Source organism: Homo sapiens, chromosome 3 (genome assembly GCF_000001405.40).
Source record: "Homo sapiens chromosome 3, GRCh38.p14 Primary Assembly".
In the NCBI taxonomy this organism is placed as follows: Eukaryota; Metazoa; Chordata; class Mammalia; order Primates; family Hominidae; genus Homo; species Homo sapiens.
The window spans coordinates 132,317,167-132,340,226 of NC_000003.12; the positions used below are offsets into that span (position 1 = coordinate 132,317,167).

General features: G+C 40.3%; 1 protein-coding gene across 5 annotated transcripts in view; it reads left to right on the forward strand.

Moving 5' to 3' along the window:
• The window catches only part of ACP3 (acid phosphatase 3), a 50,896-nt gene continuing 28,076 nt past the window's right edge, over positions 241–23,060 (forward strand). For 3 of the 5 annotated variants that reach the window (NM_001134194.2, XM_011512946.2, NM_001099.5), the window contains exons 1-5: positions 241–410; positions 11,101–11,196; positions 14,481–14,567; positions 15,026–15,178; positions 20,290–20,388. In NM_001134194.2, coding sequence (NP_001127666.1) covers positions 291–410; positions 11,101–11,196; positions 14,481–14,567; positions 15,026–15,178; positions 20,290–20,388 — 555 coding nt within the window. In that variant the 5' untranslated portion in view covers positions 241–290. The remainder of the gene's footprint in view (positions 411–11,100; positions 11,197–14,480; positions 14,568–15,025; positions 15,179–20,289; positions 20,389–23,060) is intronic. The other 2 variants (XM_011512947.3, NM_001292037.2) reach the window with 1 other exon arrangement.

Below are 23,060 nucleotides of genomic sequence, written 5' to 3' on the forward strand. Positions count from 1 at the left end.
AACAAGGATAGAAATGTCTGCTAACATGCTCTGTGACCTTGATCAACAGCTTTCCCCGCTCTTGGCCTTGGTGTCCTAACTTAAATGGGGAAACTGTGATCTCTCTCAGCTCAAAATTTACATGACATTATTTACATACCAAACCTGCCCTACGCTTCCTGGAAACTTTACTACTTATGAGTGTGGCTCCTCCTTCCCTTTCAATCCCTTAATTAAATAGCTTCCCCTCTACAGGCTTTTGAAGTGGTAGCAGTTCCTCCTAACTCCTGCCAGAAACAGCTCTCCTCAACATGAGAGCTGCACCCCTCCTCCTGGCCAGGGCAGCAAGCCTTAGCCTTGGCTTCTTGTTTCTGCTTTTTTTCTGGCTAGACCGAAGTGTACTAGCCAAGGAGTTGAAGTTTGTGACTTTGGTAAGTAGACTTTTCTCATTGCTTTTTCCTTAAAACTGTGTTCCCAGCAAAGTCTGATAAGGCAAGCGTCAGGTTTCATCTTATCCTTGGATTGTTTCCCAGAGACCAGGCTCTGTTCAAACTCAGAAAGTGAATAATCAAGTTTTGCAAGTTCCTCTTAATGAAGACCTAACGTGTCCTAACAAAAATATTTTTTGGTCGCTGTTTTTTTAGGGGTTGCTTTTTATTTGCTTTTGCTGATGTTATTTATTTACTTACTTTACAACTGCCTTGAATTCAGATTCCTTTTGACAGCCACACCAGTCCAGAAGAAACCACAGCTGGCGCTGTTTATGTACCAAGAGCTGGCTTCATTCAATTTAATCATTATTTGTTTGCAAGCCAAAAAACAGTCATTTTCTGAATTAAGTAGTCCTTTCACCTTTGTTTATCAGGAAATTAGAACAACTATTTGTAAACAACCTTGAAGCATAAAAGTGAATCTAAATTTGGAATTTTAGGATGATTTTCTGATATATAGATTTAGTTGACGATTAAAATCATTGGCACATGTGACCAGTTATGAAAAAAGGTGGGGGGTGGCTGATGCATAATATCAAGAAAAGAAAATATACTGTTGACATTGTTTGAAAATAGATGGAAAGAGGGTTTGCAAAGTGAAGGGGATTCATCATGTTACCTAAGAGTCTGATTTTCTGTTTCTGTATCTTTTTTTCCTTCTGTTTCACTCTTTCTCTGCCTCTAAGCCTCTAAGCTGCTTCTTGCCTTTCCTCTCTCGTTTTCTTTCTCTTCCCTACATTTTTTTATTTGAGATAGTGAAAGTGGGCTGATAAGTAGGTAAATTTTCTTTCTGTCAAGAATACTCAAAAATTATTTTTATAATTTGAAGGAAAGTCACTGTTTCCTTAAAAATTAAAGTTCAGGCTTTTTTTTTTTTCAGCATGGGATATTCAAAGCTCTTTACTTTCTACAGAAAATATGATACCCATGTGCTTATTTGAATCATTATTCTTATAGTCCAGTAAATCCTTACTAGGTCATGAGTCAACAATGACAGAAAACCCAGTGAAACAAACTATCAATTTATTTACAAATGATTCACCAGCTGTCAGACTTCTGTGCAGAAAAAAAATATATAATACTGTGTGCCTTCTTTAGGGAAACCCATGTGAGCTAGGCTTGTACTTCTATCAGTAGTTTTCTTGCTAACATGTGCATGAGGCAAGTTTAGGGACTGTAGAAATTGTACTGCATCTGCCGTGCTTGTAATACTGTAAACCTGTGACAAGCTGGTTGAGTGGCAGTCCTCTGAGAAATCCAAGTTACTCCAAGCTCACTGTACATGATGTATTCCCTCCTCCATGTTTTACCCAAGTTAGCCCAGGCTAACTTCCTTTGACTACCAAATTGTTGTGGGTTTCCTATATTCAGGGACTGCAAGTTAATTCTTTCCTGAGGAAAGCCAAAATACAAAGCTAGCTCTCTTAGAACTAAAAAAATTAACAAATATTGCACAAAGCCAGTGTTAACTATTTTTTCCTACCATGATTTCCTTCCATTAATGGTAGATGAAGGGCCATTTAATACATCTTTCTTGGCCCTTATAAAACAACGTCCATCTAAGTACTTAAGCCAATAAACATCAGTTTCTTATTTTTATTGACTAAAGAGAATATTTGACTATAAGTGGTTAATTTATACAAATGAGATAACTCTTAGAAAATTATTAGGAGAACCAGAATTGTTTTAAAAGATGCCCATAACTAAAGTGGTAATATTAATGATAATAACCAATAGTCAATTGAGTGCTTACTGCAAGTACTTACTGCAATTGAGTGCTTACAAGGCACTGTTCTGAGTGTTCAATATGAATTGTATCACATAAGCCTGTCAACAATCCTCTAAAATAAGGTCGTTAAATAAAATATGGGATGACCATTTGAATTTGAACTTCAGATAAATAGCAAATAATTTTTTAGTCCCATGCAATATTTGGGCATCCTGTATGTTTATTTGCCAAATCTGGCAACCATTCTATAAAGTTTTGTAAAACTTATTATTCCTATTTTATAGATGAAGAAATTGAGGCACAAAAAGGTTAAGCATCTTGCCCATGGTCACACAGATGGAATGGTGGAGACAGAATTTGAACCCAGGCTCTCTGACCCCGGATGCCTTTCCCTTTATCACTAGACATGGTCTTTTCCTGCTGTGTGTATATAACCCAGCACATGGAGCTAGTCTGAGATCCCCCTGTAAGGTTTGCTGGATTAGCTTGACTCTGAATCAGCAGGTGGTTCCCTTGCTTTTCCTCTGTGATCCGAGAAAAATAAATCCTCCCCAATTCTGAAAAGCTGTTCTCAGCAGAAAGAGGAGGAAACTGTCCTTGGTTCTTGTTCTCGGACTAACTGAAGTGCCTGTGACCCATGAAATGCTAGTTTGACAAGTTGTTAACAGGTGTACATGGGGAAAAAATCAGTTTCAATAGTCAAGTTAGCTTTGGGAATAGAACTGGGTTAAACTGTGTTTAAAAGGTCTCTTTAATGCAGTAATCCTAAGTCTTTAACATGCTAATACGCACTGTGGCTTTCAAGGAAAGGATCTAGTGTTTTCCAAACTCTGTTTTCAAAATTTTGATTACAGCATTCACCTCCCTCTTTTTTTCCCCAATGTCCTGTAGAAAACACTGAGAGAACTGACATTTTTAACTTTATATGGAAAGAATCGTAAATATGGTGAATCTGGATGTCCTCATCAACCAGCTTCAAAGACTATCACCCATGCAATCTTGTTTCATCTGCATAGCCACTCATTTCCCACACACACCCACTTGAGTTTTTTAAGTTATTTCATGCACCATATCATCCAGAAATAGAAAAATGTCATTTTAAAGCATCCTGTCTCCCCTAACCCAGAGAAAACCCACAAGTTCAGCTGATCCAAGACAGAAAAATTCCATCTCATTTCACCGGTGTTAAGAAAGGAATGATGACTTACAAGGTATACACTCTTCTCATTCTTCATGGTTGACTTTCTTCATGCAGAATTCTTAATCAAGTAATATAATATTCTTGGGTTTTTTTTTTTTTTTTGAGACAGAGTCTTACTCTGTCGCCCAGGCTGGAGTGCAATGGCGTGATCTTGGCTCACTGCAACCTCCGTCTCCCAGGTTCAAGTGATTCTCCAGTCTCAGCCTCCCAAGTAGCTGGGATTACAGGCGTGTGCCACCATGCCTGGCTAGTTTTTGTATTTTTAATAGAGACTGGGTTTCACCACGTTGGCCAGGCTGGTCTTGAACTCTTGACCTCAGGTGATCCACCAGCCTTGGCCTCCCAAAGGGCTGAGATTACAGGCGTGAGCCACTGCGCCTGGCATAATATGATATTCTTGATGGAAGCAGCCTCCAAATTCTCAGCACATAATCTATATACTGGAATGGGTAACTTCCACATTATGGACATGAAGGACCTCCTAGCTACTAGGGAAGGTGGAGCTAGAGGATCACTTGAGCACAGCAGTGTGAGGCCACATTGAGCTAGGATCACACCATTGCACTCCAGCCTGGACAACAGGGAAAAACCCTGTCGCTTGGGTTGGCTTATAAAAAGAGGTACCAGAGGCTGGGTGCAGCAACTCACACCTGTAATCCCAGCACTTTGGAAAGCCGAAACAGAAGGATTGCTTGAGGCCAGGAGTGCAAGACTCCAGGCTGGTTAACATAGTAAGACCTCATCTCTGCAAAAAAGAAAAAAAAAAAAGATGGACCAGATAAAATTCCACTGAAAAGCAAAAATCAGGTCTCCTGCCTCAGTTCACAAACAACCTTACATACAATCTCTCTCCCTTGCTGTATGGCTCCTAATCACTGTATCCAAGGAACAGCCAAGCTGTCTGGAGACCACAGGTTTTTCAAAGACATTTGCCGGAAACAGCACCGTGCGCTGAGAGTTGGTACTGAGCCAGGCTCAGTTCAGTTTGCTTACATGAGCTTCTCCCCAGATTTATGCCAATGCATTTCACAAATTTTCAGGGTGCATTTGGCCAAGACATTTCAGCCAACCAGGTTATTCCTGTGGGTGCTTCTCAGTATCCTAAATGCAAAGGAATAATTAATTATTCCTCTCAGCCAAGGAAATAAAAGTAGGGAGAGATGATTAGAAATTAACAGAGGTATGTCTCGAAGGAGAGTGCTGTTTCCCATTGCTCAATAGGTAGTGCTCATTTGCCCTATATGCTGCAAATTATTGTCAGCAGGAAAGGAAGTATATATGTTAGCTAAGCTAAATGTCTGAATAATATAACAACAAAAATAATTATAACAAATATAATAATAAATCCCACATATCAAATGCATCCGGTGTGCTCGGTATTATACTGATGGCTTTACATATATTACACATTTAATTTTCATGATGCTCCTGGATGAGAAATAATGCTTTTGTGTTTTACACGAAAGGAAATTGAGGAAAGGAAAGGGAAATTGAGGCATGCAGAATGTTAAGTTAAATCATTTTCCCAAGGTCACCCAGCAGGACCTTGACAAAGCAGGAGTTTGAACCCAGGTCTAACCAACTGAAAACCCAGACCTTTTCTGATATATCACACATCTTCTACACAACATAATACACAGTTTTTACAGCTTCCCTTATTTGCAGGCCTCTGTGTTCGTCCCAGTCTCTGGATCAAAGTCTTATTAGACTTGTCCTGATTGCTTCACGGGGAGTACAGAACATATTCTCATGCTGATTCCTTTCAAGGTCAGCCAGCTTTCCTTCTAACCTCTGAAATGACACTCATTTACATTACTCAATTATTTCTGCCCAAACTATTTTATTTTTAATTTTCTTTACCAATGGATTTATTTCTTAGGTCCTAAAAGAAGAAAATAAAATAGACTTCTACTCATAGTTATCTTTGTGCATCACGAGATTTTCACAACTTAGAGTATACCCTAATAAAATAATAAGAAGAATTTAATGTCAGGAGATAAGGTTCCTTTTAGGACTTCCAGAATCACCCCAAAGTTTTATGATGTGTCTCCAATTCCAAACCTGAAAGGAGAACATGATGGTTTATGAGACTTCAATCCAGTCTGGAAGCAGACTCACTGTTCTAGAAGCAAAGGCACAAATGAATAGGATAGAGACTGCTACAATTTGAATGTTTGTCCCCTCCAAAACTCATGTTGAAACTTAATCCCAATGTAACAGCCTTAAGAGGTGGGGCCTTTAAGAGGTGATTGGGCCATGGGGGCTCTACTCTCCTGATGGATTAATGGATTAACAGATTAATGGATTAATAGGTTATCACAGAAGTGGGTGAGTTATCATGTCAGTGAGTCTATCATAAAAACCATTTTGGCTCTCAGTGTGCCCCTTCTTGTCCTGTCATGCCTTCTGCCATGTTATGACACAGCACAAGGCCCTCACCAGAAGCTGACTAGATGCAGCTGCCTGATCTTGGACTTCCTAACCTCTAGAATTGTGAGCAAAATAAACCTCTTTCCTTTATAAATTTCCCAGTCTCAGGTATTCTGTTAAAGCAACAGAAAATGGGCTAAGACAGAGGGGAAAGACAAGAAGATGAAAGAAAGGAAAAAAAAAAAGCACACATAGCACACCTTGCTGATAAATAAGGATGATGATCAAAAACCCTCATGAAATGAGAAGATTGGAAAGAAATCCATAATGTACCTGGAAGTACTAGACCCAATCCGAGATTCACCTGTTCATCAGAACAGGCCTTTTTTGCATATTACTATGTTCCAGGCACTGTTTTGGGGTTATAGCAGTGCTTGTGACAGCAAGGCTTCTGCTTTCAAGGAGTTTCTAGGGACAGGGAGGGAGCCAGATTTTTTTTAATTTTAGTAAAAACAAAAAATAAGAAAACATCAGGAATATTTATTTGAAATAAAACAGTGAGATAAGATAGAGATTGAGCAAGAATTATAATGATGGTCAAGGGATGTCTCTCTGTAAAGGTCAAATTTTCAGGACAGACCTCAAATTGATGAGTGGTGTGTATGCTGAGAGAAGACGCAGACTTGAGACATTCAAAGCAGACAGGACATCAAGAGCAAAGGCCCTGAGGCTTCAGCAAATTTAGTATATTGGATGTAACAGCAGGAGGGCCCATGTGGGTAAGCTGAGGACATCAAGGTGAGAATATCAAGGTGGGTAGGGACCAGATCAGGTAAGATCTTGTGAGCCCTTGTAAGGACCTTTAATTTATGCAAAGAGCAATAGAACATGATATAATATCTAAGAGTGATGAGGATATAAAAGAAACAAGACTAGCCACATACAAGTTGATAATTGTTGGAGACAGTGGTGGGCTCATGATAAAAATCTCCACTTTTAGGCTGGGCACAGTGGCTCACGCCTGTAATCCCAACACTTTGGGAGGCCAAGGCGAGTGGATCACCTGAGGTCGGGAGTTCGAGACCAGCCTGGCCAACATGGCGAAACCCCGTCTCTACTAAAAATACAAAAATTAGCCAGGCGTGGTGGCAGGTGCTTGTAATCCCAGCTACTTGGGAGGGTGAGGCAGGAAAATCACTTGAACCTGGGAGGCAGAGGTTGCAGTGAGCCAAGATCATGCCATTGCACTCCAGCCTGGGCAACAAGAGCAGGACTCCATCTCAAAAAAAAAAAAAAAAAAACTCCACTTTTGTATATCTTTACATTTTCCACTGGATATAGCCTCGACTGTACTCACCAGGTTCTCCACACCCTAAGCCACATGCCAGATTTGTTTAGCAGATTCAGTGGAGCAGGTTCATTCATGGGGGCACCAAACCAAAAGTCCTTTTAAAAACAGTTACCTATGATTTAAAAGTGTGAAGTGATTGTAGTATGATGGGGAAACAGTGGGCCAACTATCATGAGAATTAGGAGATCTGGACAGCTACATGATCTCTTTGATCATATAGTTTTCTTACTTGCTCAGTGCAGCAGTAGTGCCAACCTGTCCTCAGACGGGGATGTAATAATTAAAAGAGGTAGCAGGGGAAAATTCTACAAACCATGGAGGGTTGTGCAAATGTAAGGAATTATTATTTTTTTTTATTTTTATTTATTTATTTTGAGACGGAGTCTCACTCTGTCACCAGGCTGAAGTGCAGTGGCACGATCTCGGCTTACTGCAACCTCTGCCTCCCAGGTTCAAGTGATTCTCCTGCCTCAGTCTCCCGAGTAGCTGGGACTACAGGCATGCGCCACCACACCCAGCTAATTTTTGTATTTTTAGTAGAGATGGGGTTTCACCATGTTGGCCAGGATAGTCTTGATCTCCTGACCTCATGATCCGCCTGCCTCAGCCTCCCAAAGTGCTGGGATTATAGGCATGAGCCACTGTGCCTGGCCAGGAATTGTTATTATCTTGGATGTCTTTCTATTACAATTACCACTACTACTGCAAAAATCCTAATTGCTAATAAAGTATTTTTAGGTTTTTAAAGGATTTCATAGAGTATGATTGCTGGACTGAGCACAGAGGTAATAATTGGTAGAGCAGCAGTTAAGAAGATTGCTCTACCACAGAATTAAAAGAATGTCTTCGCATAGTCCAAGAACTCCAGCTGAATTTTGAAACTCCAAAAGCTCAAGGAACACCAGCTTCACATTTGCCTGCGGGAGGGGTGTGTGCACACATTTTGATTTCCAGCCCTGGAAGTGGAGAATGGTTTATTAAGTGTTTCTCCAGGACATCCCTTCCAAAGGGTTGACAGCATGTTTGAGCAACTACCTTGGAAACACTTAAAACCTACTGAAATGTAGGGGAGTACAATTATTTCTGAACTATGGGCCAGAGTGAGAAAGTTTGCCCAAGTCTCATGATTATGTTCCAGTTCTCTGCTCTTCAAAACACTCTGCTAAGGTGACCACACTTGTTTTTCTCTCTCAGGCCATTCTGTCATTTAGTTGCATAACCTCAGTTCTATTCTTTCAATAATATACATAGTTCACAGTGCCTTCGGGGTAGTTTCCGTATCAAGGTTTTGGTTTCTTCTGATACAAAACACACACACACACACACACACACCCCTTCCAATCCTAGAGGAAAAGAGTATACTAAGTAGAGTTAATAAAGAAGCGTTAGATCCCAGACCATTCAGATTTAGCTGGTGGGACTGTGAGGAGTGTGATCATACAGAAATGAACCTCTCACAGGTGGTTAAGTATGCTGGAGTTGGAGGCACAGCCTGTGTTTGAATATCAGCTCTACCACTTCTTACATGCTGTGTGAGTTTAGACAGGTCACTTAATTAAGCTAAACTTCCTCATTTGTGAAATGGAAATAATAATAGTAACTGCTTTGTGGAACTGATGAGAAGATTACATCTATGAGAAGCACTTAGCACAGTTTCCAGGACAAAGTGAGTGTTCAAAAAATGTTAAGGAGTTACCGTTGTGGTTATAGGTTGGTGGGAAGCAATGTAAATTATTTTATTACAATGTCTCTCACCTGACTTCTCTTTGGCTAACTCAGTGGCTCTCAACTTGGGGTGATTTTCTGCCCCTATGGCAGAAAATGTGCCTTTTTCAGTTGTCACAGCTGGGGAATGTTACTGGCATCCGGTGGGTAAAGGCTAGGGATGCTGCTAGACATTCTACAATGCACAGGACAACCCCCACAACAAAGAATTATCTAGCCCAAAATGTCAACAATGCTGAGGTTGAGAAGCCCTAGAAACTAAAACAGTGTGGGGTTTGTAATTTATTGAAACCATGTAACAACTTTAGTTATTCAAAGACACATTTACCTGGGATATAAAAACTCTAAAATGTACTTCAATTGTGGAAAGAGGCATCAATGATTAACCATAATCATTTCTGATCATGACCAAGTCACCCCTGAGACTAGTAACTGCAGGTGCTCACAAAAAAATATGCAGCTGTCCTTCCTGCCTTCAGGGGATCATTCATGAAAGTAATTTCTCACCTGACCAAAATGATCGCTTAACATTTATTGCATCATTGCCCCTGTTTCTGTAGACTACTCTACCGAAGTTTTAATTTGTCACTAGTTTAAAGGGCCAAAAGATCTGTTTTCTTCAGATATTAGAGACACAAACCAAGCATCTCCCACTTTCTTGGAATTCCTTCTCAAAAATGACTAAAGTCTGAGACTGTTTTCTTATTTAATGTCTATTGAATTCTGTTTTACAGAATTTCAAAAGAGCAGGTTCTTAGCTTACTTTTCAATGGAACATTTTAGCCAGGTAGTATAAGTACAGGTGCGGGTAACCTCAGATAAATCAAGGTGTTATGCAGCTGTCTCTATATTAAAAATATTTGCTGACATCAGTGTAGACTTCATCTTGTAGTTCTTCAGTGTTTTCTTTCCTTATCTTTTGCTCATAAGATGGCTTTGTGTTTGGTTTGATATTATACTGAGAAAGCATATTAGAATCAAAGCACCAAGATTTCAAAAGTCCAGACTACTCTTCCCAAAGAGAAATGTGCAATCACAATAGCATGACATGGGTACAAATATAGAAGTATGTTATTAAAGTATTGAGAATTAGCTTTCCTAACCTCCCCACCTGCAATCTTTTACTCCTAATCTCCAAAAAATGAACAAATCATTGGCTCAAAATGGTCACAAATTGTATGTGGTGTTAAAAATCTATTATTTTTATTGTATATAAAATGTTGCCAGGTGTGGTGGCTCATGCCTGTAATCCCAGCACTTTGGGAGGCCAAGGCAGGTGGATCACTAGGTCAGGAGTTCAAGACCAGCCTGGCCAACATGGTGAAACCCCATCTCTACTAAAAATACAAAGATTAGCTGGGTGTGGTGGCGTGTGCCTGTAATCCCAGCTTCTCGGGAGGCTGAGGCATGAGAATCACTTGAACCTGGGAGGCAGAGGCTACAGCGAGCCAAGATGGTGCCATTGCACTCCAGCCTAGATGACAGAGCAAGACTCAGTCTCGAAAAAAAAAAAAAAGTTATACTAGTTGGGCACGGTGGCTCACACCTGTAATCCCAGCACTTTGGAAGGCCGAGGCAAGTGGACCACCTGAGGTCAGGAGTTCAAGACCAGCCTGGCCAACATGGTGAAACTCCATCTCTACTAAAAATAAAAAAATTAGCTGGGCGTGGTGGCAAGCGCCTGTAGTCCCAGCTACTCAGGCGGCTGAGGCAGGAGAATTGCTTGAACCTGGGATTCGCCACTGCACTCCAGCCTGGGCAACAGAGCAAGACACTGTTTCAAAAAAAAAAAAGTTATACCACTATTACTGTAATCATTAAGGGAAGAATACTTCTCATCAGAGTTTGTCTGCAGTAAAGTACTCTTGTCAGCTTTGTGTTCCTTTCTGTCCTATCTTATGTACAAACCGATCTCCATTATGTGTCACCTGCCTTCTAATGGCTGATCATCTTGATTCTTACATTACCTGAAACACAGTGAAAGTGTTAGTGAACTTAGAATAGTGGTTCTTAACTAGAGATTTACCCAGGGAGATTTTTTAAATCCTGATGTCCTGGCCACATCCCAGACTAATTAAATAAAAATCACTAAGGTTGAAAGCCAGTCCTCAGAATCTTTTAAAACTCCTTACGTGATTACAATGGGAAGCCAAAGTTAAAACCAATGAGTTAGAAAAAAAAAAACTATTATAATGAGCAGAAGCAAAACACCCAAGTGACGTTTGTAACATCACTCTCTCACATCTACTTTCAGGTGTTTCGGCATGGAGACCGAAGTCCCATTGACACCTTTCCCACTGACCCCATAAAGGAATCCTCATGGCCACAAGGATTTGGCCAACTCACCCAGGTTGGTTGGACTTTTAGCTAAAGATTGTTGATGAAGCTGGGTGTGGTGGCTCACGCCTGTAATCCCAGCACTTTGGGAGGCCGAGGCAGGCGGATCAACTGAGGTCAGGAGTTCGAGACCAGCCTGGCCAACGTGGTGAAACCCTCTCTCTACTAAAAATACAAAAATTAGCCAGGATTGGTGGTGGGCACCTGTAATCCCAGCTACTCGGGAGTCTGAGGTAGGAGAATCGCTTGAACCTGGGAAGTGGAGGTTGCAGTGAGCCAAGATCGCACCATTGCACTCCAGCCTGGGCAACAAGAGTAAAACTCTATCTCAAAAAAAAAAAAAAAAAAAAAAAGATTCTTGATGAGTCTCAAGGGGAAATGTATATAGAATTGTCTGTTTTGATATTTTTTGCCCTTCTGGCTTTATTTAAATGTAAGAGATGTACATGAACAAAGACTATATGAGCTTAGAAATGCTGAAGAGAGCCAAGTGGTAATCATAAGCCAGGATTTGAATTTCTTAGGCTTCACATGAGAAAGTGAAAAATAGTCTTGTAATCAATAAGCTGAATCAACAGCATTGGGAAACATGATTCCCCAAAGTGCTGATATCAGAATATGATTTCTTGTCAGCTGGATATATTGGGATTTGACCTTCCTTATAAGTGGTCAGTTAAACACAGGGAGCCCTACTTTCTGAAGAGCATCTAAGGAGAAGGTGAACTGGGGAGCAAAGCCATCTTTAGTCACTGTTCCAAAGCCCTATTCCCTTTGCTTGTAAGATTGGATGACTCTTCTGTTTGGAGCCACAAGGCCAGGTGAATTGCTTCTGTCCTGATCTGTTTAAATATATTAATTAAGAAAATGTCACAGAATCTTTAGAGTAGAATGTCTCAAAAACTAATGGGTCTTAATCCTGCCAAAACATTGGGATTATCTGGAGAGGTTTAAAAAATATATTGATGTCTGCCTGGGAGGTTCTTATTTAATTGGTCTAGTATGTGTCCTGGGCATTGGGATTTTTAGAAGCTCCTTGGTGATCAGTTCACTCTAATGTGTAGCCGAGGCTGAGAATTTCTGCCCTGACTATATTTCATAGAGGAGAAAACTCAGGCAGGCTATTTGAGACCAGCATCTTCTGTCTCCCAGGTCAAAGCTCTTCTCACCATAGCCTACCCATCTTCTGTCCCTTTGAATGAAAGAGAGGCTACAAAAATTCAGATTTGCTTGTTAATACCTATGGCTCTGTATAGACTCCTGTTCTGTTGCTATGTTTTCCCATTAAGACCAAAAGATTCTTCTAGGCTGCAGGATCTGAGTTCTTCTTCTGAAGAACCTTGATTACCCATCAGATTCTATTAGGGCAGTATTTCTCAAGCTTCCATGTGCAAATGAATCACTTGGGAATCTTGTCAAAATGTAGATTCTAATTCAGCAGGTCTGATGTGGGACCTGCGATTCTGCATGTCTAACATACTCCCAAGGATGACAATGGCACTGGTACATGGACCACATTTGAAGTGACAAGGTTCTAGGGCTCAGATTCCTACCCTTGTCTAGGTACTTTTTTTTTTTTTTTTTTTTTTGAGATGGAGTCTCACTCTGTCCCCGCAGGCTGGAGTGCAGTGGCTCGATCTCAGCTCACTGCAGCCTCTGCCTCCCAGATTCAAGCAATTCTCGTGCCTCAGCCTCCCAAGTAGCTGGAACTACAGGAGAGCACCACCACGCCTGGCTAATTTTTTATATTTTTAGTAGAGATGGGGTTTCGCCATGTTGCCAAGGCTGGTCTCAAACTCCTGAGCTCAGGCAATCCACCCGCCTTGGCCTCCCAAAGTGCTAGAATTTCAGGCCTGAGCCACCACACCCAGCCTTGTCTAGGTACTTTAAATCTACATAATCATAAGATGATGGCTGTCTAGATCAGTGTCTAGGTACTTTTAATCTGCCTTGTCTAGGTATTTTTAATCTGCATAATCATAAGATGATGGCTGTCTAGATCAGTGGTTTTTAAAGTGTGGTCCCTGGACCAGCAGCATCACCATCACGTGGGAACTTCTCAGTAATGTAAATTCTTCACGCAATACCCAGTGAACCATAAACTTTGGAATTAAAGCCCAGAAGTCTGTGTTTTATTGAGTCCTCCAGGTGATTCTGTGCATGCTAAAGTGTGAAAATCACTGCTTCATACAGACGACTATTTAAAAAGTCAGCTGTAAGAACACAATTAGACCTAAAGTACCTGCTTCTCCGCTACTCAGGTCACGGTATATTATTCCTTTCCCACCTTGTCCCTATCGTAGATGGGAAGTGATTATAGTGGTGGTCAAGCAAATGACAAGTGTGACAAGCAAATGACAAGTGGGACCAAGCAGCAGCCACCGTAACAACCTCCTCTCTGGCTCCCAAAGCTCTAGTAAGGCTCTGGATTAAAGACAAACTTGAATGCTGCATTTCCAAAGCATGGTGCTCTACTACATGCATCTGAATCACTTGGGAGACTTGTTAAAATGCAGATGTCAGGGCCCCACTCAGGAACTAATGAGCTGGAATCTCTGATGGAGATGCTGAGGAATCTGCATTTCAACATGCACCGCTGGATAATTTTGTTTCTGATGCACGGTAATGGTTGTGGACCACTGAGCTAATGCAGTGCATCTCAGTGATTACTGTCCATCAGAAGCTTGTTAAAAAATATTCTTGAGCACCACCCCCAAAGGTTCTGGTTCAGTAGGTCAAGGGTGGGGCCCAAGAATTTGATTTCTATAATGCTTTTAAGTGAAGCCAATACAGACCACACTTAGAGTAACATGTTCTAATTTTTTTATGAACCAGGAATTAATAAACTGGGCAGATAGTAAAGCATTGCCCACAGAGGTTGAAAGAGACTTTCAGATTCATCGAGTCTAATCTCATCAGATGGTTGAGCTTCTTCCACAAAATCCCCACCAAGTGGGTCTCTTTGAATGCTCTACCAACAAGGATCCCACTACATCAGAGATGAACCATTTACTTAAATCAGATCAATCACCCAACTATCAACTAAGCACTTACTATGTGCAAGTCTCTATGTTAAGTGCTAATGAAGATAAATGAGTTTTCTCAGGGAGTCAGGGAACTGTAACTAAAGAGTACAGCTCTTTTGTTTTCACTTAAATATGTGTCATTATTGTGGAACTATTAAACCACACCATTGTTCATTCTACACACATAATGAAAAAAAAAATCAACAAATTTTTATGATAGTGTGATTCATAGAACTTACTTTCATTAATTTTTGCTTTTATTTTTTTCCCATAGCTGGGCATGGAGCAGCATTATGAACTTGGAGAGTATATAAGAAAGAGATATAGAAAATTCTTGAATGAGTCCTATAAACATGAACAGGCAAGTTGGGGAGCCAAGAGTGGGAACTTTGATCTTTGAAATAATTAAAATAATTCTGCATATATAAAAGTGCTTTGCCTGTTTTCCAAGGAACTTATACAAGTCAGAGGTCTTGTTTACAAATATATTCCTCTTTATGCAAATTTTTGTTCCAAAAAGTTTGTGAATATGAGTAATTTCAAGATTTTATGAACACCTGAATAAATACTTTGGCTTGACAAGTAGCCACTGCTTAATTGATCTCATTTGTCAATTCAACTATTGGCCAACCAGGTTGCTTTGTACCATGATCATAATATTGCTCATTCCTTAACAAGTATTATGATTCTGATGTTAGCACAATGTCTGTAATATTTCACTGTGGGTGTCCTTTCCTTTCTCTAATACCTTGGCAGCTCTGTAGAAAAAAACCTCATGCTCCCTTTACGTTCGCTTCTGCTTTGATTTTCCTACTCTAGGTTTATATTCGAAGCACAGACGTTGACCGGACTTTGATGAGTGCTATGACAAACCTGGCAGCCCTGTTTCCCCCAGAAGGTGTCAGCATCTGGAATCCTATCCTACTCTGGCAGCCCATCCCGGTGCACACAGTTCCTCTTTCTGAAGATCAGGTCAGTATACTGGGAAAACCAGGAGATTTCAGATGGACCTAGAATGAGGAAGGCAGGCTACTCAACAGTTGTGGATTTGGGAGTCTGGACACTCCTTGAGCTGTGCAGTTTTAATTCTTTCTTAAATAAAGATACAAAGGACAATTTAGGACATGGAAAACCCTAGCTAAGAGAGAGTAGGAACCAAATTTCTCTTTGGATCTGTATGATCCACTTTGTTTTGCCACTCTTGCAACTCTTGGCAATTTGCCCCCTCATCGTCATACACAGAGAGAGAGAGAGAGGGAGAGGGAGATAGACAAGTCCCCCAGTGTTCTGCCTTAATTCCCAGGCTTTTGGTGCCCCAAACAGGTTTCTCCACTCTCCAGATTATCCAAAGATATTTATACCACCAAACACTCCTCCACTCATGAAAATCCACATTCCTAGGTAGAGAAAAAAAGATTTGAGTGCATAATCATTGCCTAACATTTTATGTGAATCATTGTGTTACCTTTCATAACAACTCTGAATGGACAATATTCTTGCTCTCCTTTTATAGTGAGGGAAATAAGTGCTTGGAGAGGTTAAATAACAAACAAATTGGTCCAAAGCAACACTGCTGGCAAGCATCACTCTGGGATTAAAACTAGGCCTATTTCATTCCAGAGCAATTTTCTTCCCTATAAAATCATGATTCTCAGACTTAGCTGCATATTAGGATCACGTGGTTTTTTAAAAAAAATCCTGATGCCCAGGGCACTCTCCGTAAGAAATCGGAATGTCTGAGGGTGGACCCAGGCATCAGTGTTTGAAAAATAATCTCCCTCGATGATTCCAGTGGGGAGGCAAGTTTGAGAACCAGTACTATAAACTAAGCTGCCTGAATGGGGCTGTTTGAGAGAAACTCTCAAACGTGTTTACACAGGTTGGGACCGACCAAGCTTTCTTTAATCTTTTCAGAGGAATGGGTATTTTTAAAGTAGCAATAGATAAATCTAACTAATCTTCCAGGTGTGAAACTTAAGGCTATATGAAAGAAATAGTTTGGGACAAAGAATCCCTTCCTAATTTCCCTGCAGTCCCATCATAGGCATGACCATCGCATCTCTTTATGGCTGAAGCTTAGCCTGACTGCTGGACCCAGACTTTTGCCCAGTGACCTCTGGGGTAGGTTACTATCCTCTTTGTCCTGCCAGTACCCCTAGAAATTTGACTTAATTGCTGCATCTAGGGACTTAGGGATTTTTCCCAAATGCTGTGTAGAAAGTCACTGGAGTTAAATCTACTCCAACCATTTTTCTGCTGTTTCTTGAAAAGACAGGATGATTCATTTACATCTCTTTTCCTTCACAGAATCATGAGGGAAGTATTGTGATTACCAGTGTTAAGCATTTGTGAATATTTTATTCCAAAAAGAAAAAAAATCACTTTACCAGCCTTTTCTGCAGAGATAAAGACTGGAGGTCAGGTGCGGTGGCTCATGCCTGTAATCCCAGCACTTTGGAAGGCTGAGGCGGGCAGATCACCTGAGGTCAGGAGTTCGAGACCAGCCTGGCTAACATGGTGAAACCCCATTTCTACTAAAAATACAAATATTAGCTGGGCATGGTGGTGCACGCCTGTAATCCCAGCTACTCAGGAGGCTGAGGCAGGAGAATCACTTAAACCTGGGAGGTGGAGGTTGCAGTGAGCCAAGATCGCACCGTTGCACTCCAGCTTGGGCAACAAGAGCGAAATTCCGTCTCAAAAATAAATAAAAAACAAAACAAAACAAAGACTGGATAGCAGCACCAAAATTTAGCAAAATGTAGACCACAACAGCTATTTAACAATTAATCCTGAATGATAGTAATTAAGTTACACAGAAAGAGAATGCAGGTGCTAGTAGAAGAGGAGGAAAGAAACAGGGAGAGTGAGGGAGAGAAAGAGAGAAGCAAGGAACATTATCTACCTATGGCTTCCATCTATCTGATTCACTAAGGTCAAAAAAATTCTCTCATATCAACTAAGAAATCTAATGAAACCAATCAACACTAGCTTATTCCTAGCATTTAGCTGTGCTGAATGCTGTAGAGAAATAGGAGGCGAAGTTTTTCTAATTTATAGTTTGATGAAAGCAAATTAGCATGTGTGAAATGTGTAGAAGACATTATAAGATGGCGGGCAATAATTTCAAGTACAAGCCACATATGCTGGGTGAAGTCAGAGAATGAGACTTACGTGCAGTTACCACAGGGCCGTCGTTCAGGTCTTCATAAAGAGAGTGAGAACTTGAACCAGACCTCAGAGGAGAGGGAGGAAGGAGAGGAAGGCAGCACAAAAACACGACCATGAGTGAATATGTAGAATGCCAGTTCTTCTGTGCCCAGAGTTCATATTTAGAAAGAGAATGAAAATAAAATTGATTATATTGGACACAGATTAGATAATCCAAATTTAATAGCCAGGAGGAATCTTGAGTTGAAAGAAAGGCAGTGTGATGTTAGAAGGAGGGCTGAATTTGAAGTTGGAAAACCTACATCCAACTACCACTTCAGATATATGACCTTGAGTAACCTCCGTAAACCTCAGTTTCCTTTCTGTAACATGGGAAAATAGCACCCACCTAACTTCTTCTTAGGGATTTGTGAAAGTCAAGTTAGTTAAAAAATGGAAAACACCATAAACTGCAAAATTCTGGACAGATGTCTCGGTGATTATTCTGTTTATTTTCAGCCTGACTCAATTTGTGGATGAAAAAACTAACATCCAGAAAGTAATTAATTAAATTCCAGGCCTTTTAATGAACAGTCTTCTGCTTTTTCTCTTAACAATATAATTTCTCCTATGGAACAATTTGAAAGCCATGCATGCAAATTTAGACTAAAAGCAATGGACACAAAAGAAACCTGTATACATTCTTCGGTATTACGCACATGTGATGAGTGGTGCTTTTGGGCACTTGCCTGACAGTAGCTTGGACAGAAAAGACACTGGAGCCTCAGAGAATAACTATTGAAGCAATTCTGGAATTAAGAAATAAGGCCTGAAATGAGATGGTAAAAGATGTTAGAGGAAGAGAAGCAAGGTAAGACAAGGTGACACACAGAATCAGAAATGATGAACAGGAAGCAACTTTTAAAATAAATGTTTTCTGAGTAGCTACTAATATGCCAAGCCCTGTGCTGGGCATTGACATTGCAGCAGTGAACAAAACAGACACGATCCTGGCTCTCGTCAAGTTTATATTTTATAGGAAATAGATGATAAAGAAGTAAAATAAAATAATGTCAGATGGCGATGAGTTCCTGGAAAGAAATGAAACAGGTTAATATGATAGAGACTGGCCCAGGATGGCTAGAAGAGGGGTAGAAGTCAATGGGGGAGTGTTCAAGGCAGGAAACAGTTTTAGGCAGAGCTCCTAAGCCAGTGCCTTCCGGGACAGCAAGAAGGCCCAAAGTGTTGCTGGAGAGGAGTGACAAGGGACAGTAATAGGAAAAGAGGGCAGTGCAGTTCCTAGAGGCCAACTCATGCAAACTCTTGATGTAGTCTGTGTGGTGGTGAGTTTTGATTTTATTTTAGGTAAAATGGAAAGCCAATGAAGGTCATGAACCACAAAATGACATGATCTGATCGATACTTTAAAAAGATTCATGCTTAAAAAATAATAATAGGCCGGGCGCGGTGGCTCACGCCTGTAATCCCAGCACTTTGGGAGGCCAAGGCAGGTGGATCACGAGGTCAGGAGATCGAGACCATCCTGGCTAACACAGTGAAACCCCGTCTCTACTAAAAGTACAAAAAATTAGCCAGGCGTGGTGGCAGGCGCCTGTAGTCCCAGCTACTCAGGAGAGTGAGGAAGGAGAATGGCGTGAACCTGGGAAGCAGAGCTTGCAATGAGCCGAGATCGCGCCACTGCACTCCAGCCTGGGTGACAGAGCAAGACTCTGTCTCAAAACATAATAATAATAATAAAAGGTATTAGTGTAACTGCTGTGTGGAGAATGAATTAGGATGGCTGAAAGAGTGAACACTGATTTACCAAATAGGAAGTTCTCACAGTAGTTGAAACACAAGTTATGGTGGCTAGGACTGGGAGGGGACTATGAAGATAAAAAAAAGCGGTCTATTTTGAAATAGAAGGGGATATGTTTTGAAAATAGAGAAACAAAAGTGACTATGAAGTAGGTTGATAAATTCTGCCACTAGCAAAAGCAGAGAAAATTACAAAGAGGGAATGGTTAAAAATGAAGTTGAATTCATTTTAATATGATAGAGGCTGGGGAAGGATGGCTAGAAGAGAAGTAGAAGTCAGTTGGGGAGTGTTCAAGGCAGGGAACAGTTTTATGCAGAGATCCTAAGCCTATGCCTTCAGGGACAGCAAGAAGGCCCTTGTAACATGTACAAGTTTAGCCTTGTACATGTTAAATTTGAGGGAAAAAAAATGCAAATTAGTTATTTCTACCAAGGGCTAGAAATACAGGACTAGTCACAGATGGAAAGTAAGGGCAACAAAATAAACTTGAGAGCCACAAACCTGTGGGTTACAGTTAAAATTATAAAACACTGTCAAAATTTAATTAATTTTAGGAAGTTCACTTTGTCCTCACAACAGGTTTTTGAAGTATATTTTTCTAAGTATTTAATACGTACTCTTAACAGTCTGCAAATTTGCAAAACCTGAAGTTAATGAGTGGTTAATTGACTTAAGATTTTTTCCAGAATCAAATTCCTTTCTCCATACATACATGCGTTGGGGTGTGTGTGTGTGTGTGTGTGTGTGTGTGTGTGTGTACAGGTGTGCACCTACTGCAAGAAATGAAAGTGATTGGGAAGGAAGCAAGATAACAGTTATTCACGTGGAAGATCGAGAAGTGTAAATATTTACCACCAACAGCTCAGTTATATTATGGCAAGTTTATGAATGAAAAAAAAGGATTTTCAATTCTGAATACATATCCTACTATTTTAAGACCTATAGATCATTTGATTCTTTCTCCCCAATTTTGGAATTTCCACTCAGCTCAAAACACATTTGAATCTTTTATTAAGGTTGCTTTGAACCTAATGAGGCTTAAAATATTGCTGCAGCATATTTAGCAAAGTTTTTCTGACTCATAACAGTTTTATGATTTTTCTCTTATCCTCAGTTGCTATACCTGCCTTTCAGGAACTGCCCTCGTTTTCAAGAACTTGAGAGTGAGACTTTGAAATCAGAGGAATTCCAGAAGAGGCTGCACCCTTATAAGGTTAAAAGCTAGTTTTGTTTAGTGGTACTTGTTAGTTTGTTAGTGGTACTTGAGTGTGAGGGCCAAGACACAAGATGAAGCTTTGGCTTCTTAAAAAGATGGGACGAATGCATCTGTCAGTGGCTGGTTACAGCAATGGGTTAGAATATTTAATGAGGGAGGTCATCACTCCTGCTTCCCTTCCCCATACAGGGGTCACAAGCCAATAGACAAGCCAGTCCTTTTGAATCCTTTACTCATGGCCTTGAGAGGAACCAGGTGTGAGTAAATGGCTGGATGAGAATAAATATAAGTCTAAAATCACCTGCCTTATTCAGGCTAAGGGGCTGGGATTATTGTCTTCATATACAAAGGATAGTCTTTTTTTTTTGTTTCTATTTTGCAAAGTACCCATTTTCAGCACAATACAAAAGGTAGATATAATGCTGTGTACTTTTTAAAATAATCTTTTGAATATTATACATTCATACTGTCCAAAAATTAGAAAATATAAAAAGGAATACAGTGGAAGCCTCCATGACCCCACAGGTAACCACTAGCATTATTTTCTAGTAGTCTTTTATGTGTTTATTTTATGCAGTCTTTTATGTATTTTATGTAGTATTTTATGCAGTCTTCCAATTTCCTTATGCATATACAAACATAAAAATATATTCTGATAGTTTCTTCTTTTGTTACACGAAAATGGTATACTATTCATAGGGTTGGGCACCTTGGTTTTGTTTTGTTTTTTTTTTTCCATTTAAGAAAATATATTGGAAATATTTCTATATCTGTATGTAAAGAGTTTCCTCCTTTTCTTTCTTTTCCTTTTTTTTAACAAATGTGTAATATTTATATTTATGCCATAATTTATTTAACCAGCCCCTATTGATAGGAATATGGGTCATTTTTCAATCTTTCATTTTTACAAACAGCATGTATGAATAACTTGTGCATCTAAATAGTTTCACAAGAATACCTGTGGGATAATATCCTAGAAGTAGACATTCTGGGTTAATCTGAAATATTATTAATTTACCCTCCAAAGAGGTTTTACTACTTTCTACTTCTATCAGCACTGCATGCAAATGCCCATTTCTCCACAACTTTGCCAACAGTATGTGGACCACTCTGGGGATATTTGCCAATCTGGTAAGTGGAAAATAATATCACTAGAAGCATCCATCTCCTCTAAAATTAGGAATAAGACAAGGAAGCTCACTATTATAACTACTGTACAACATCGTGCTATAGTACTTTTCTTCTTGTGATGAGTGAGTTTGGGTATCTTCATCTAGTTAAATACCATTTTTTGGTTTGTTTTTTGATATTGTATTTCTTTTTTAACTTTTATTTTAAGTTCAGGGGTACAAATGCAGGTTTGTTATATAGGTAAACATGTGTCATGGGGGTTTGTTGTACAGATTATTTCATCACCCAGGTATAAAGCCTAGTACTCATTGGTTATTTTTCCTGACCCTTTGCCTCCTCCCACCCTTCACCTTCCAAGAGGCCCCAGTGTGTCTTCTTCCCCTCTATGTGTCCGTGTATTCTCATCAGTTAAATGCCATTTATATTTCCTTTTATATCAATATCCCTTGACTATTTTTCTTTTGGATGATTGATTTTCCTTTTGCTATAAGTTTTTAGAAGCTTTTTTCTATGTATTTTAACATTTCTGTCTGTGATATTTTGTGTGTGAAAAAAAACACACTCAATGTGTTTTTTCCTATTTTTCTCACTTGAAAACACCAATCAACACAGACAGAAGACTTCTGTGACCAAATATGGGGGATCTCTCTGCAAGAAAAGGCAGCCCGTTCTGCAGTAGACACCAGCTGGGTGGCCTCCAATTCAGTTTTGACACCATCTATTTGGAGATAGCATCAGATCCTACAGGTTGAGGGCTCAGGCCCCAAAACTGGCCACCCCCAACCCGCCACCTCAGACACAGATGAAAGTCCAGACCTCCAAACTTCTGACAGGCTGGCTTTAAGTTGGGGTTCCCACAACTTCCTCTTTGGGTTCGATCAGTTTGCAGGGGCAGCTCACAGAACTCAGGGAAACACAGTTATTGGTTATTACAAAGGATATTACAAAAGATATAAGGAAAAGGTCAAGGAGCTTGCCTGCCTTCTTCAGGACCACCACATTCCAGGAACCTCTAAGTGTTCAGCTCTCTGAAGGCTCTCTGAACCCTCTCCCTTTGGGCTTTTTATGGAGATTTCATTGCATAGGCATGATTGATTAAGCCACAGGCTATTGGCTATCAACTTAAATTTTAACTCCCTCCCCTCCCCAGAGGTTCTGAAGTAGGGCTGAAAGTCCCAACGCTCTAATCCCGGCCTTGGCTTTCTGGTGACCAACCCCCATCCTGAAGCTGGCCAGGGACTGCCAGCCATCAATCAATCATTAGCATGCAAAAAGACATACTTTGGAGACTCCAAGGATTTTAGGAATTCTATGGCAGAAAATGGAGATGAACACCAAATAGAAGGCCGGGCACAGTGGCTCACGCTTGTAATCCCAACACTTTGGGAGACCAAGGTGGGTGATCACCTGAGGTCAGGAGTTTGAGACCAGCCTGGCCAACTTAGTGAAACCCTGTCTCTACTAGAAACACAAAAAATTAGCCAGGCGTGGTGGCAGGCGCCTGTAATCCCAGCTACTCAGGAGGCTGAGGCAAGAGA